This window comes from Homo sapiens, chromosome 2 (genome assembly GCF_000001405.40).
Source record: "Homo sapiens chromosome 2, GRCh38.p14 Primary Assembly".
In the NCBI taxonomy this organism is placed as follows: Eukaryota; Metazoa; Chordata; class Mammalia; order Primates; family Hominidae; genus Homo; species Homo sapiens.
Genome location: NC_000002.12, coordinates 224,926,508 through 224,943,125, shown reverse-complemented (window position 1 = coordinate 224,943,125; position 16,618 = coordinate 224,926,508). Strand labels below are relative to the sequence as shown.

Below are 16,618 nucleotides of genomic sequence, written 5' to 3'. Positions count from 1 at the left end.
TGTGGTGGTCTGCAGTTGATGGTTTTCTTTTTAACTGCCTTTCTATTTTTATTTTATTCTTTTTTTAACTAAAATTCTTCAGTATGATCTCTAGTGCAAAGGAAGTCAATAAAGAGATCATTTCCTTCCTAAATTATGTGTCCTAATTTAGAAAGATTAAAAACAGACTTAAGTTGAATTACTATATCAATCATCTGCACAGTCATAAAAATATATGAACATATTTAAATAAATGTGATTTGTTGTTTTTAAGTTGTTACTGGTTTATGGGTCATTAATCTGCAGGATTTCAAAATATTTGGAAAACTGGATACCCATGAAAATTCATCCTCTTATCTTTAAAGTACCTATTAGCACTTTAATAGGAAAATAAAAATGAAAACTATAAGTAGAGGATATAATCTGAATAGCTTTAACATATCTCTAATATACATTATTTTATATTGTGTTGTACTATTATTGTTCAAGTCAGTTTTTTCTTCTTGAATCTTCCATGCTAATGTGAGAAGCCTCCCTTACTGGTGATCTGTGCTTCGTTAGGTGCTATCTCTTTGTTTTGTACAACCATTCATAGGGCGTTGCTTATTTAGGCTGTTGTGAAACGAGCCAGTTAGCTGAAAGAAGCAATGGATGGGGTTCCAGGAGCCAGGATTTTGGTTCTAGGAACAATGAAACAAGGCTGAATCAGGGTTGAAACACAAAGGAAAGCAGGAATGAATGTTGGAAATGGACAGGTTGAAGAATGCAAAGAAGCAGGAGTAACCGGGGGATGTGAATTCAATCCAAGAAATGGAGATGTGAGATTTGAAACTTGGTCTGCCTAAGAATCCAGGTGAACACAGATCAGAGGACCTGGGTGTGAGCTGCAACACTGAACAGTTAGCTCATGTGTCAGGGAGCTGCAGAGAAGCTGCTTCCAAAATGGAAATGGGAGGGGTACCTGTAATTTAACTAAGAATGGTCTTCCTTTCCCTAGCAGCTGACTGCGAAGGGAGGGAGAAGAGTTAAACCAGAAGTGAGCCAAGCTTCTGAGCATGGGCTGGACCATTTGCTAGAGAAGAAGAGTAGCAACAGGGACAGGAAGGAGGGTCATGATCCCAGCAACCCTTTATTTCCTGGAAGGTGGCCGTGGTACAAAACTTTTTGATTGTAAAGATTCCCTCAATTGGTGGCAATTGTCATTGTGGATGTTGACATACACACTAATAACATTCATTATATGGTTCCTTAAATCTACCTTTTCATTTTCTTTCCCTCCTATAAACTTTTTTTTTTTTTTTTTGAGATGGAGGCTCAGTCTGTTGCCCAGGCTGGATTACAGTGATGAGATCTCAGCTCACTGCAACCTCTGCCTCCCGGGTTCAAGAGATTCTCCTGCCTCGGTCTCTCGAGTAGCTGGGATTGCAGGCGCATGCCACCACGCCTGGCTAATTTTTGTATTTTTAGTAGAGACGGGGTTTCACCATGTTGGCCAGGCTGGTCTCGCACTCCTGACCTCAGGTGATCCACCCACCTTGGCCTTCCAACGTTCTGGGATTACAGACGTGAGCTACCACACCCGGCCTGAGCCACCAGGCCCGGCCTGGTCCTCTTTCGCTACCACTTTGTTCCCCTGAGGTGCCTGGTGACCTTATTATACCAGCCCCAGCCTTCTCTTGCCGTTTGCTGCAGAAACTCAAAAGTGGAGCAGAAATAGTATGCCAAATCACAGCTCTATTCCAGAATCCTCCCAACAGGGAGTGAAGAAAAAGCATTTCTGTTTTCTGTTCTCTGTTTTGCAAGGCTATGTTCTTTGCTGGTAGAGTGGAGTGGAGTGGACTATAGGCTTCAAACTGAGCTGGGTTAGAATGTCAATTCTCCCATCAACTTGCAGCCAAGTTGTTGAAGTCTTCAAAATCCAAGCTTACTCATCTAAAAAAAAAAAAAAAGAGCAGTAATGTTCTTTTCCAGGGTTGATGTTGGTATTCAGTGAGAGAAGATATTAAATACTGATTATGGTCTTTGCCATTATGTATGATAGTGGTAGTAGAAAAATAATAACCATTATTGGCATTTACAGGGTAATTTATTTTAAAATGGTAGTGCATATTGTTACCATTATTATCAATTATTTGGTGTGACTGTTATTTCTACAAGAAAACACATATGAATTAGTTTTACTATAATAAATAAATACAGTAAATGTGACTTGTAAGATGAAAATGGGGGGAGGAAGAAAGGTGAAACCCCTATAATATACAACAGATGAGACATACCTAAATCATTGCTAGCTTAGGTGTGTCTGATCTGTTGTATATTGCAGGGGTTTGCCGGAACTTCCCACACAACCAGGCACCTCCTACAGAGAGCAAAATTATAGTATGTGACTATCGTCACTGAAGGTAAACGGGGTCTTAAACTCATTTTTTGGCTTCCAGATATTCTGCTGTCATAGGAGAGTGATGGGTTGAATGGGTAAGGCTTAATGGAAAATTAGAGATCAGGGCTGCACTGAATGTATTTCCCTGGAGAACCAGGAAGGTTCTTAAGCCCCCATTTTCAGGATGCTTGATACCTGGTGTACTTTTCACAGAATGAGACAATCTTGGGTTGCACTGGTAATTCAGGAGTTTACCAAACCTAAATTCCCACACCTCAAAGACAGAAGTCATTAGCTAAAAGAGGTCCTCCTTTAAGACCATTCAAATCCAAATAAACATAAAAATTGAGGAAATAGTAGTCCCTTATTCTAGGCACTATTCCTTGTATTATATCTCATTAGATTCCTATAGTTGCAAGCATTGGAAACCTACTCCAATGAACAAACACAGTCCAGAGAAGGGGACAGAAGGAAGAGTGGAGAGATGGGCTCAGAAAAGAACGAGGAATGGACTTAGAGAAGCTCAGAACAGTGGGAAATGGGTGGTTTTGATGATTCAAACTAATGGAAAGTCTTGTGGGAGTGTAGCCCCAGAAATGAAACAATTCCAATCCTTTCATCAACATTTGCATCCTTCCACTCAAGATTCAGAGTTCGGCAGGAAAGCGTTGAATGGGTCTTGCTGGGGTCACACACCCATGATGCCAGAAAATCAGGACGCTTTCATTAGTCAAATCCACCAAGGCTGCTTCTTATGGGAATGTGGAAAGAAGTAAGTCCCCAAAAGGAAATTAAAATGCTAGTACTAAAAGAAAGTAGGATGAGTGCCACATAGGCCAAAAGACAACAAATATCCACTATGCATATTCAACTTCAAGTAGCCACAGGTAGGAAAGGAAATAAAAGAATGGTCTGTCATTATGGGAAGACATATTGAAATTATAAAATGCCTATTGTTGACAAAACTATTTACATTTGTATGTGTGACATGTATGTGCGTGTACAACACTTGACCTGTGAGTGAATGTTTTTGTGATTATTAAAAATAATAAGATAGTATCTGAGGTTAAGCTGGTGACAGCTCTCATCACAGGCTTCATATAAATTAATCTAAAATTCTCCAGTTTACTCTAAGGCATTAATTTCCCTTGTGTCAGGCAGCCTTGTAATTGGGTTGTGATGTATTTTTAATGATATTTATTATCATTCAAGTGTTTCTAGAAAACTAAATGAGACATGTAATTTAGTTTGATTTAGATCTTCTTGGATATTTTCTACTTCTTTACAAATACAGAGAAGCAGCCACTTTTAAATTTTATTTTTATTTGCTATACAAAAATGTGTGAATTTTAACATGCTCATAAGAGATATACATGGTCAGATTTCTTTAAAAAGAAAATAAGACTTCAAAGATCCAAATTTAGTTTGAAAGTGCACCTTACATCACAAATCCTATAAAGCTCCTTTGTGTCCTTGCTTTCCCTAAAGAAATTAAGGGTTAACAAAATAGAAAATTCTGATTTTTCTAACGATAATGTGTGTGTTGAATGTAACAATACAGTCATCCCTTATATCTGCAAAACATTTTATGCTTTACCGACTTTCACCTGCTTTATGTCACTGAAATGGACTAAGACATTCAAAGAGTTACTGCTGATTGATTTCTTGTGAGATCTGTGTCCGTCTTTGTTACCAAGGGAGCCATTTCCAAATTCAGCTTAATCTGAGTTTGCCCAGCTGCACAGTTGTTAACTTTGATTTGGCTGGTGTTTTTCCATTCTCATGAAACTGTGTGGTTCAAGACAGACAGAAGGTTAAAGGGTTAGTGTAAGATGGCTTATTCTTTACTTAATCACTTCCTTTTTGGTAGGAAAAAGTAGCCTTGTTTTCAGAAGCTCAAACATTTGAGAGGTTCTCCAGGGGAACTCCCTCTGATGAAAGGCTAAATTAAATCTGTTACATGACCCAGGCTGACAGCTGCGGCCGTGCATCCAGCTGTATGGACTTTCTCCGATCTTCTCATTTGTTTTAAACACAAGTGGCGTGGAAGTTGGCTTCATTCCAATTACATTAAGGTCAAAGGGTCCTGGATTAAGTCAAGGTCTAAAGAATCCATGTGTCATTTAGATCTTCTATTTCTTCTAAGAAATCTAATCAGTTATCTTGATATAACACTGAAATTGGTTAACAGCTGTGTTGCTTCTCATTTGTTTTGGGGATTTCAAGATTGGAATTTTTGGAGGGTCTCTCAAAAGACCCCATGAATCGTCACTGTGAGTGATTTGCTTGTCCGTGTGTCAAGATGTGAAGAGAATTGAAAAAGAATTAGCATGTGGTGTTCTAATAGAGCCTACTCTATTGGTACCAAACTAAATACCTATTTTTTGTTAGTTTTTCTGTGTCATTAACTAGGATGAATAGTTTTGAAAACTAAAGAAGCCACTCAGATACAGGATTAATTCTGTTATGAATATTGAAAATAGAATAAAGGTTCAGATATATGGGAACAACAGTGCTGGCTGAGGAAGAGGGAGTTCCAAATGGCATCACAGGATCTACCGCATGTCACAGAAAGAACATACAACTTCTCAAAGGAAGTGGGGAACGCTCTTTTCATAATGTTTCTTGAAAAGACTAGGTTTTCTGAAAAAGAGAACCAAGAATAACTACTTCAGGTAGACAAAACTAGAGCAACCCCAATGGTGAATAACCAAGACATGGCTCCCTAATTACATTCAAAATGTAGATACCAGATATGCGGTCCTCAGTCACGAGGGATTTGCCACAGAGATGTTCTCTCTTCCTCTTTCCATCAGTCCTTTTCCTGATTAGCTCCCCAGTGCCGACAAGCTCACTTTGTATCTGTGTAGGTCAGAGCTGCAGAAAGATATTCAAAGTATCTGCAACATTGATTGTTCTTTAGATTTTTCTATTTGCAAAGCTAATGAGTTTAATATTAAACCAATCCTAAATTTAATCCTTCTCTTTTGATCTGCAAGTATAAATACATGAAAATATTTTCTAGGCCATTTCTCAAGGAAAACAAAGGTAGAATTTCAAAGTCACTTTCATTTGCTGATATGCTAATTAGGTAGATCGCTTTCCTTTTTCCTATGGGGGATAGAGTAGACTGACTTCACTCAGGAGATTCTGGAAGGAGAAGCTGTCCTTTTTTTATTTGAGTACTCTTCATTATGACTACCATTTTTGCCTCCAGTAGAATCATTAATTTTCAGAGTGTTATTTTAATAAAATTTAAATCATAAATATGAAAGCATATAGGACAGTTCCTGGTACATGAAGAATTCATTGTAGTTGGTTTGATTAGCTGATTGGCACATGTTTCTTGGGTAAAACATGTAGGGTAATTTTCAATCATCTTCAAATAAAAACAAATCTACATTTGTCTGATATTCAGTGGTTCACTTACCACTTTTCATACTTTATCTACTTGATCTTTGCAGCAACACTGCCCTTTTCCCATTTATCCCAATATCAGCTGTTGCAAATGACTTGTCAAAGTTACGTAGCTGGTAGGTAAGAAATCCTGAACTTCCAACTAGAGATTCTGATTTCTAATCCTTTGTGACAATGACCAATACACATGAGTATTTAAGTAAGTTACCAGATGTTGATGGTTCCCTACAGAGGTGAAAAATATTTTAGTTATTAAATTGCTAATTGCCCATCTCCTTTTTGCTGACATTAGCTTCTAGAACCACATATATAATCTGTAATTATTTTCCCTGGTCTCCTTTCCCCAGGGTTTTGTGTATCTTTTCTTAATTACTTGAAACTGTTAATGGTTGAACTTCTATGTGAAGTCTCACTGTGATTTTTCTAGGCTGCCTCTCTGGTGGATTTTCAGAGGGTAAACAATTTTAAAATCAAATAACTCCCCAGTGTTTCCATGAACATATGATAGTTTTGAGAAACCAAGTTCATTTTCTCACCACGAGGAAAGCAATACATGTTCATTGTAGAAATTTGGAGAATGCAGAAAAATCAAAATGGCAAAATCCTAAATATCATAACTGATAATATTAGGACCCATATCTCTAATGTTTTCTCTTTAAATTTATTAAATCTTGTGTGATTATTCTGTTGTATTATATTTATTACTACTTTATTGAACAATAAATACATAAACAATTTTGCTTTTTATTACAAACTTTAAAAAATTTAGTTTTAATGGATATGTGTTGTTTCTTAGGATGAATGTACCATAATTTCCTAATTATTTCTTACCCATGATGATTTACTGTTTCTCATTTTTAGCTAGTTGGTGCCCTTACTATCCCTTAGACATATGGGTATTCTGGGCTCAAACTCTAATGTCATAATAGCTATGAATCTAGAACCACTGTCAAGGTGACCTTAACCTCTTTCCTTCTGAGGTAGCGAGTGCCCTTTCTTTATCTTTCCTTTTGTACCAGTGCTTGCCATCTTGATCATGAACTCCAGCCACTTCGTGTTTTCCAAAAAGAAAAGCCAATTATATGCAAAATATTGTGAGTTCACTAACTTTGCTGAAGAATTGAAGTGTTTAGTAAATTTATGGCATGCACTGCACCATTATTTATGGCATGTACTAATAGTCATTCACGGATTTATGCCAACCCTTATCCTAGTTTCAATGTCCTTCCCAAAGCACATCACAGCATTAAGCCTATCTCCACCATACACAGTTCTCTGAAAGAGATACACTGTTTGGAACAGCAGCTCTGGAGTCTTCACTCATTGGGTATAATCTCCACTAGCCTACCTTTCTCCCTTATACCTTTGGATTAGGGTGACTATATTTTCTCCATCTTGTTACAAAGATAATATTGCAAAGACATCCTCGTATAAATCTTGGATTATATGTGTGCTTGTTTCTTTAAGATAGAATCCCGGAAAAGGAATTCTTGGATCTGGATGAAATAATATAAATTTATTTATTTAACAAATAGTTATTGAGTGCCTACTATTTGCTCTTTGTAGACATTAAATTTATAATACTGATGCTTTAAATCCCTGACTAGTGAACATTAAAAACCCATAGGCTTTATCTATTAACACTTGGATAATGAGGATTTTACGTGTGGGCTCTTCCAGGGGTTTAAAAAGTATTATCTCATTTAATCCTGTGAGGCAGCACTAACTAAACCATTTTACAGATGGAGAAATTAATGCATGGGGATTTTAATTACCACGGCTGAAGTTCCACAGCTCATATGTGGCAATGCCAAAACTGGAATCCCAGGAATTCTGGCACTAGAGTATATGTTAAACTCTCTGTTGCATCGTAACATAGAAAACCTATACTCACACTCTACTTTATACTTTGGATTTTTCCAAAATAAGGCTGGGTAGTCTAGCTTATGTTTCAGTTAGATTGTACTTCCATTCTGGAGGAATATGAAGGTTGGTAATTCAGCCATGTAATTTTTAGTGTTACATACTTCAAATGCTTATTTTCTTCAATGTCATTTCTTCATCCATTTGATCTTGAATTATAGTGATGAAAATAATTCAGATATTTGTAATGGAATACTTTGTTCTTGCTTGTTTCAAACCAATTGAGATGCCCTGGGTAGCCCAGACTATTACAAAGATGACAGTTTTACCACCCTGGGGCTTAGATAATCGTCTTGGCATTCAGTAGTGAAATCAGGTAGATGGGAAGCAAGCATTTGTTTTTGTGACAGGAGCCCATTCTTCTGCTGTGAAGTTGATTTGGAGGAGAGCTGTGGATTTGGGGAACTAGATCAAAGAAATCTCTTAATTCTCTGTAAGAAGAATAGGGCCTCTCACCACTGTGGTGCAACACCAACCCTAATGCATAATAACAGGTACTGGTGGGTGCCTTTTCCCATGCAGAGTGACTTTAGAACAGCTAATGAAATTCATTACTCATTTGAGAGAAAGAGAGAAAGAATAAAAAGCACTATAAAAATCCAAGCCAATTCAGAGTAATCTTGGCACATACCTTATCCCCGTTGGTGCATTTCCAAAAGAAACAAGCACATTAAATTCAAGAGGGACAACCCAACCCTTGTTAAAGCTGTAAATCAATGCTGCTCAGTCCCCAGTTTCACTCAATGTCTCTGCAAGGAGCAGTAGTGAGAAATTAACTGATCCCACCATCCTTGTATACATCTGTCTCTTTACATTTGAAGGGAGCAGGCAGCTCCCTTGCTGCGGACAGAACTACTGGTTATGTAGTCCGGATTCTCGCCATCACAGATGTGTAAAGCATCTGTGACAACTTTGGCCTAATCCCAGGCTCTAGACACTATGGAATATATCATTGCTATTTCTTTTTAAACTTTATGTCCACAAAATTATGATGCATTGGATATCTTGAATGTTACACAATGATCAACAAATTCACTGGAAAGATTGAATTTCACCAATCTATTCCTCCAGAGGCCAAAACTTAGTAAATTACATGAAGTAGATCTGCTGGATTTTGCAGTTCCATGTCAAAATAACCCCAGTGCAATATTCTAAACAGGAAAGGCCTAATAAATATCATTCATTAATTGATGTCATAGCCTGAAATGAATACCTAAAATTATGCCTTTAGATGCTTGCAGGCCATATGTTTTATTTGGGTATATCGAACCAAGGTTGCTGCAGCCACAGCACAGAGTACTAACCACTATACGATCACGGCGAACTACCAGGGACCATTATTTGGGTATATCAAGGCAAGTTAGGATTTAGTTTCTCTGTGGTTTTATTAATAACTTGTGACTTGGGAGCTCTGATTTGCCTATTGTACTAATTTAGGTGGGATTGATTTTAGGTAACATTGGGGTACCAGAAAAAGATCTTCTTTGAAAGATCTTCTTGTCTCCAACTCCTTAAATAATGCTGGATTTGGGGACTAATGGGTGATAAAATTTAAAAGATAGTGAGAACCCGATTATAGAAGTCCTCTCAAAACATCCATATGTCATTTGCCTTTAAACCTATAAATTACAATATACACTAAAACCACACTCTCATATCTCTACTCATTTTGGTGTGAGGAGGGAGAAGATAAAAGTGTTATTAGCCACATCATGGACTATTGCTGTAAATACCAAAGGGCATCATATACTTAAGCTGAAGAACTCTTAGAGACATAAACAATGAACCAAATCTAAGGCAGACGTAAGAGCTTCCTGAAAGGGTTTTACTGTACATTTTGTTTCGTTTGCTACATTTGATACCTACACACTCAATAGGGAGGAAAAACAGGTTTCAGAATAAGCCAACTGTTTCAGACTTGAAGGCCTGTGGGGGCAGTTGGTAATATAAAAGTAATATGCTGCAGGGTAAGATAAAGACTACTGAGGCCTACAGCTGAATTGGAGAGAAATACCATGACTTAAAGACATTCAAAGCCAATTAAAAAGAAAATAAATGTGGGTGGCAAACCAAACATCTGGAACGTGCATTTGCCTTTTGAGCTGTCAATCTAAATCTTTGGAATTAACCTTTGCCTGGGAAATAAGGAATTAGAACTTAAAATAAGTCTAAATAGAATAATATCAAAAGGCAATGATTCCAGAAAGTCTTTTTTTCCACTCCCCAAGTCATGCCATAGCATCTCTGAATTTTCTTCCTCAAAATACTCAATGTCTCACAGCTCTTTCATTAAATATGTTCGTCAACTGAATTTCTTTTCTCCAAACATTGTGTGGGGTATTTCTTTTTTACTAAACTAGCCATCTTTCTGGAAGGACCTTCTAGACAGAATATTCACCTGGCATTACCCTTAGTTTCCTTAAGCATTTGTGAAGTGAGCTGGGTTTTTTTTTCTAATGTAGAAAGTATATGATGACCCTTGCCTTTGGCCCACTATGTTCACATTTGTTTTATTTTTTATATTTGGAAAATTATCAAAATATATATTGACTGCTACTTTGAAAAGCCCATTAGCATTTATTAAAATGTCAATGAAAGTTCCTAGGGCCTTATCAGAAGAGATCTTCCAAAGAAAGCCTTAGGAGTCAAAGCTAACTCTGTGTACTTTGCAGAATGAGGAAGGGTGGCATGTGTGAGTGTGGGGAAGGAAGAGTTTGGTGGGGAAGTATCTGTTGATGTCACTTACGTGAAAAAGAAAAATAATAATTTTTTTCACTTATGGGATCACTTTAGCGTTCAAATTTTGTAGGAACCACTCAAGCTTCTAGGAGCCCCAAAATAACCCAGAGGACCACCGCTTTTCACTTAGGTTGCATAAATGCTTCATCAAAAGGGTTAGAGGATGCAGATTGTGTTTTTGGTTTTCTGTTTTGGATTTTGTTGTGTTTTGCGGCGAGGGAGGGTCCACTTTTCTCACCTTATGAGTTCTGTACAATTGGAACAAACACATCAACCCTATAATGAAACTGTCACATTTCTCCCTCTATTTTATTTTTATTTTTGGCACTATGAGGGGCTTCTTTGAGGGGAGCACATTCCCTCTTGGCTTCAGGAATCTAATGCAATGTGATTATCGGGCTATTTTTTCACTTATCCATTTTCATCACACTGCATCCATAATAGTCCTGTCGTTCAGTTCTATTAGAAAATGACCTAGCTTGTCTCTGTAGAGACAAAGAGGCTCAGAGCCAAGCAATTAATCCTGACACAGGATCCATGTGTTCGTGACAACCAAGAGTGCCTGTGATACTTTCATTGCTAACAAGGTGCCAACATTTTTAAATAGACCCAACAGAACTCATGAGGAAGTATCTAATTCAGAAGAAATGATGATAATCATCATAATACCGTAGCAAGTAAGCAGAAGGTCTTTCTTCATGTTGACAAAGATAAAATTTACATAAACATCTATTCTGTGGATGTGATAGGGCTGGGTATCATGAGCCTTGGGGACTCAATAAGAACAGCTTGAATTTCTGAGGGAGATATCAGGTATTTTAGGATTTTCTCATATTATTTCAAATCTGGAAATAATAGGTGTGTGGCTTTGCCCTAAATTCCTGGAGTCTCTGTGACTGCATTGGAAGGATTGTGCAGTGTTAAAGCCTCAATGATAACTAAGAGATGAAATCCAACCAGGCATAGAAAAGGGAGATGGTGTATGTCAGTGATTAATACCATATTTTCTTTTTCTACAGCAAGAAAAGCCTAGGCTTCTCGAGCCTTTGGATTATGAGACTGTCATTGAAGAACTTGAAAAGACCTACCGGAATGATCCTCTTCAAGATCTCTTGTTCTTCCCCAGTGATGACTTTTCAGTAAGTCTTCTCTTCTCAAGCCATTTAGATTCAGGAGGGCCCTACACATTGGGTCATTGTCTTTCCCTGTAGATTCAGAGAGTCCAGGCCTCCCTGTGGCCACCCTACATCTCAGTCTCTGCAGCAGGAGTTCACATCCTATAATAGAAAGTACCCCAGGGCCCCCTCAAGTTGAAAGATTGGAGGCTGAGTGAGTCAGTGGCCACTGGGGACTGGGAGGAGGCCCAGGACACTGCCCGGTTCCAGCTGGCACTCGTGTGCCTGCCAATGTCTGGGTTTCTAACCACTGCCTTACCTGGACTCACAGAGCACTTCCTCCCTCAGCCATTTCTAACTGAAAGCTTCCAAGCAACTGAAACCAACCAATGGCAAAGACAGGACTCCATTAGCACAAAAGATGCAGTTCTTAAAAATCACCCTTAATCTTGGTTTGTCTTTCATAAGGAGATACTGACACCTGGGGGCAAAGAAAGGTAGGCTAGAACATCTTCATGGAGAGATTGGCGGTCTCAGATAGTCCCCTTTAGGACAATGCACACTACCACACAGACAGCCTCTGAGGATAGTAGAGATAATGAATGAAAAGGAAATTCGCTTTGGAGACAAACACAAAGTTGTGGATGGTGAGCACCCACATGTTCCAAACATAAAATACTGTTACCTTGTGGTCTTAAATGTTTTTAAATTGTGATCTAATATCTAACTGTCAAACAGAGATCTCAATGGGCAGCTATTAAACTTTCCTGTCTCTTCCTAAAAGAAAGGTGGTCTCAGACATCACAAACTTCAACATCTTAAGGCAAATAAAAAGGCAGCTGAAGGGTATCCCTGTGAAACAGCCATTGTCCATGCAAACCTCTATCAGGGAGCATGGGTCTCAGTGCCCACACATTCCTCAAGCAGCCTCAAACTTCCATTTTCTCTCTTACTTTGAGGGCAGGTCTGGCTTCTGGCTTTTAAAGAGTTTTTTTTTTTTTCACCTTCCTCCATGGATTCATGAAAAAGAAGGTATATGGAAGTTAATGATTTTCTGTTTCAAGTGTGAAGAATCATGGAAAAAAGGAGACAGATTTGTAAACAGAAAGAAAGAAACTCTTCCAATGTTTTTCAAAATTTTAAACGGCTTCCACTTGAGTGCTGGCACATTTTGAGAGAGACTTATCTCGTGCAGAGATCTCATTTCCGTGGTTGGACTAGGCCACTGGAAGTTGAACTGCAAGCATAAAGTTAAACCGCATTTTTTTAAATTCCACATCCTCATTTTCATTTTTCAGACTGAAGATTAACCTGATGAACAGTCTTTTTCTTTCTTTCTTTCTTCTTTCTTTCTTTTTTTTTTTTTTTTTTTACCGAGTGTCACTCTGTCACCCAGGCTGAAGTGCAGTGCCATATTCTTGGCTCACTGCAACCTCCTCCACCTCCTGGGTTCAGGTGATTCTCCTGCCTCAGCCTCCCAAGTAGCTGGGATTACAGGTGCATGCCACCACACCCGGCTAATTTTTGTAATTTTAGTAGAGATGGGGTTTTGCCATGTTGGCCATGCTGGTCTTGAACTCATGACCTCAAGTGATCCACCCATCTCGGCCTCACAGAGTGCTGGGATTACAGGGGTGAGCCACCACGTCCAGCCTTGAACAGCCTCTTTATGTCAAACACCACCAAAAATCATGAATCCAGGAGCATCTTTTCTCCTAGTTATGTCCTTCAAAAATATGTCAAATGCTACTTCAAGGCCTCCCAGCTCAAAAAGAGAGTGGAGGATGCAGGTAGATGGGCTGTAAAGTTTTGGCATCTTCCCATGCTCATTTAAATTGAGGAGTGTCTCTGATTACTCCTTGATCTTTATCATTCTTGGCAGCGTAACAGACAATACAAGAATAACTCTTTGTTTTTCCAGTGTGAACATTCCAATAAATACACTGAACTATTTTATTCCATGGCTGCTTAAAACCCTTCTGTGGCTCCCCCACTGCCTTCAAAATGAAGTGCAATCACCTCGGCATGACCCAATGCCTGCTTCGAGATGTGGTCCTTGCCCATTTCTCAAAGCCATAGCCTACCCTCTCCCACCCCATCCCGGCCCATCATACACCGTCACCCTCATTCCCAACTGGGGTAAAAGATCAGCACAGTTCCAAACATACTATTCTATAACACACCCCAAACCATTTCCTTCCTTTATTCATTCAGCAAATACATGATGTATAATACTGAATACTGGGCATTATTTGATGAATGGAGACAGGAGTGATTAGACAGAAATCACCTGGGGTTCTAAGGGAGCTTACCTTTTGGTGGGTTTACTTATTAAAGATTTACTTATTCCAAACAAAAAGGTAAACCAATTAATTTACCAGATAATTCAGATAAAGACCAATTCTATGAGGAAAATAAAACTAGGCAGAATCTGATGATAGAATCTGAGTAGGGTAAGAGCTGTGTTGGTCTAGGTGACCAGGGACAAGCCTCTCTAAGAAGGCGACATTTAAGCTGAGTTCTGAGTTCTCAAGAAGGATCAGCCATGCTGGGGAAAGCATGTTTCAGGCTAAAGGGGTAGCTGGTGCAAAGGCCCTGAAGAGCTCCAAGATTGGAGATTGGTATGGCTGGACAGGATAAGGCGTTTGCATCTTATTCTAACTATAGGCAAGGGCAAGTCACAGGAGTGTTTCAAGAAGGAAAACAAATGACTGAGTGTGGATTCCTAAATATTAAAAGTTCATCTGGGCTCTGTGTGGAAAACACAAAACAAGGCCTAGACAAAGTGGGGAGTGTGATCCAAAGAATCATTTCCAATTAATCTCTGCCCAAGAGATTTTCAATGCTACCTAATCCTTACTATCAGCAAATGTCACATCCTCCAAATGGCTAAATTTTAATTTGCATTAAGCAACTGACAAACAAAAGGATAGTGTTAGATATTATCTCTACATAAAATTGCCTATTTTTGAATAATAGTGGAGATTGTTCCTCATTTTAACTGCTCTACAGAGTACAGCTTGGCAAACTGTCGCCCATGGGTGACCTGCTGCCTATTTTTTATGTCCCATGAGCTAAGAATGGTTTTTATGGTTGTTAAAATAGCTTAGGGAAAAAAAGATGATATTTCAAAACACATTAAAATTATCTGAAATTCAAATTCTGATACCCATAAAGAAAGTTTTATTGAACACGGACACCATTCCTTGACCTCTTGTCAGTGGCTGCTTTCATGATGTAAAGGCAGGGTTGCAACAGAGTTGCAGTAGAAGCAACAGAGACATTCAGCCGGAAAAGATTTATTCTTTGACGCTTTACAGAAAAAGTTGGCTGACATAGAGTACAACTGCATGCATTTTTGGTTTTTATCCTCACACTCTTTGTGGAATATAGGCGTGTCTGTAAATCTCTGATGTTACCTGCTTCACCCACAGCCTATGTCACATTTTAGGGACGTGGCGCACCAACAGGAAGTGTCCATGCAGTCAGCAAGCATGTCATTTCATCAGCTCTCCCTTCAGCAGTGGGTGAGGCTCCTCTGGGGTGTGTGGAGTCAATCTCCACGGAGTCAATGTGAAGTGGTCATAGAATGACCACCCCAATCCCAAGGCATTGAGGGATGGAAGGAGAGGGGCCGCTCCAAGCTTCCCACCCCCACCTCTAAATGTCTTTCATCCAGTTTCTGCCCTGCAGATTGGAGAATCCAGCTCACTTGTATGTTTCCACGTTACCAAGCACCCACACTTGCAGCACACATGATTCATTACTCGGTTTGTTTAATCAATATTTATTCAGCACCCACGAGCTGCTGAATATAGAACAGCACTTCCTAGACTAGTGAGACTGACAAGAAAAGCAAAAGCCCTGTGTTTAAGGAGCTCATGCCCTTTTATGGATGAAAAAGCAAGTTGATTTAGAATGCTTATGGTTAAGAAATACCGAGAATCAGAGACTTCGTCTGGTATCTGGTACACGAGAAAGATTACTTTTCACCAAGGCAGTATTCTTATATTGTGACTGTATATATTAAAAGTTTTTCTCTATTCACTCTGCTGTCCCAAGCCACAAATACCCTCATTTGCCTGGACCATACCTCCCCTCCAAGAAGTGGTTTTGTAACTGGTCCTCCTGCTTTCTTCTTTGCTCCGCTTTGATTCGTTCACACACAGTACTCAATGGAAGCTGTTAGGAACACAAATTAGATAACGCCATGCCTCTGGTTAAAACTTCTCAGTGGCTTCCCATTGCCTTAAGAGTCAAATCCAGCTCCTCCCATAACCCCTGTCATCTGGTTCCCCATGTTCTCTGAGCTCTCATCTAGCCTACTTTCCTCAGTCACTGCACAGACATCAAGCATTCTTTCTGTTCCCCCAACTTGCCAAGCTCATCCTCTCGGTAGGGCCTTTACACTCTCTGTATAGCTGGTTCCTATTTTTCAGTCACAACTCAGTTTAAATGTCACCTCTACAAAGAAGCATCCCTGACTTCCAAGCTACATTGCCCTCACACCCAGTTACTTTATAACATGACCCCACCTGCTTCTCTTGATAACACTTATCACCACTGGGAAATATCTTGGTTTGCTTTTTCACTCCTCTGTCACTTGTTTCTCACTGTTAGACAGTAGCCTCTAGCAGGACAGAGACTTCTTCTGTCTTGATTGTTGAAAGATTTTCAGCAGCTAAAGCAGAACTTGGCACAAAGCAGATGGAAAATAAATATTTATTTCATGAATTATCTTTCAGAAACATCTAGATTGCTATTTTATAACATAATGTTGATCCCTTGAGTACCTTGAGGAACCAAAAGGCTTTTCTGAAACAAAATTCTTGAGAACAAAGAGGATGAAGTAATTGGCTTTGCTTGATGGTAAGGAAAATACTTCCTGCTTTGGCACAACTCAACTCAACATATCACCTTAAAAAACAGCACTAAGAACACGTTTCCCTTTTTAAAGAGGCCCATTCCTTCTAACATAGTGCCTGGCTCATAGCTGATATCAGCAAAGCTTAGTTTCCTCCTTTTAACACTTTTTTTTAAAGAGATGGAGTCTCGCTCTGTTATC

General features: G+C 39.0%; 1 protein-coding gene and 1 long non-coding RNA gene across 26 annotated transcripts in view, besides 1 other annotated feature; one reads left to right on the top strand and one right to left on the bottom strand.

Moving 5' to 3' along the window:
- The window catches only part of DOCK10 (dedicator of cytokinesis 10), a 277,379-nt gene that overhangs the window by 99,343 nt on the left and 161,418 nt on the right, over positions 1-16,618 (top strand). For all 23 annotated transcript variants that reach the window (XM_047444930.1, XM_047444929.1, XM_047444922.1 and 20 more), the window contains exon 2: positions 11,458-11,577. In XM_047444930.1, the coding sequence (XP_047300886.1) occupies positions 11,458-11,577 (120 nt within the window). The remainder of the gene's footprint in view (positions 1-11,457; positions 11,578-16,618) is intronic.
- Positions 1,842-6,643, bottom strand: LOC124906121 (uncharacterized). Of its 3 annotated transcripts, none has more exons than XR_007088106.1 (3): positions 6,608-6,643; positions 5,110-5,236; positions 1,842-1,911 (listed from the first exon to the last, which is right to left on the bottom strand). It is a non-coding gene; the product is annotated as an uncharacterized LOC124906121 (long non-coding RNA). The 3 variants fall into 3 exon arrangements; XR_007088105.1 differs by lacking the exon at positions 6,608-6,643 and adding an exon at positions 5,790-5,862; XR_007088107.1 differs by lacking the exons at positions 1,842-1,911; positions 6,608-6,643 and adding exons at positions 4,061-4,147; positions 5,790-5,862.
- Positions 7,707-8,683: an enhancer, noted in NCBI's record as "OCT4-NANOG hESC enhancer chr2:225799160-225800136 (GRCh37/hg19 assembly coordinates)". NCBI's record gives its function as "activates a minimal SCP1, AML or CMV promoter by ChIP-STARR-seq in naive H9 embryonic stem cells {active_cell/tissue: H9 hESC(naive)}" and the evidence as "EXISTENCE:reporter gene assay evidence [ECO:0000049][PMID:30033119]".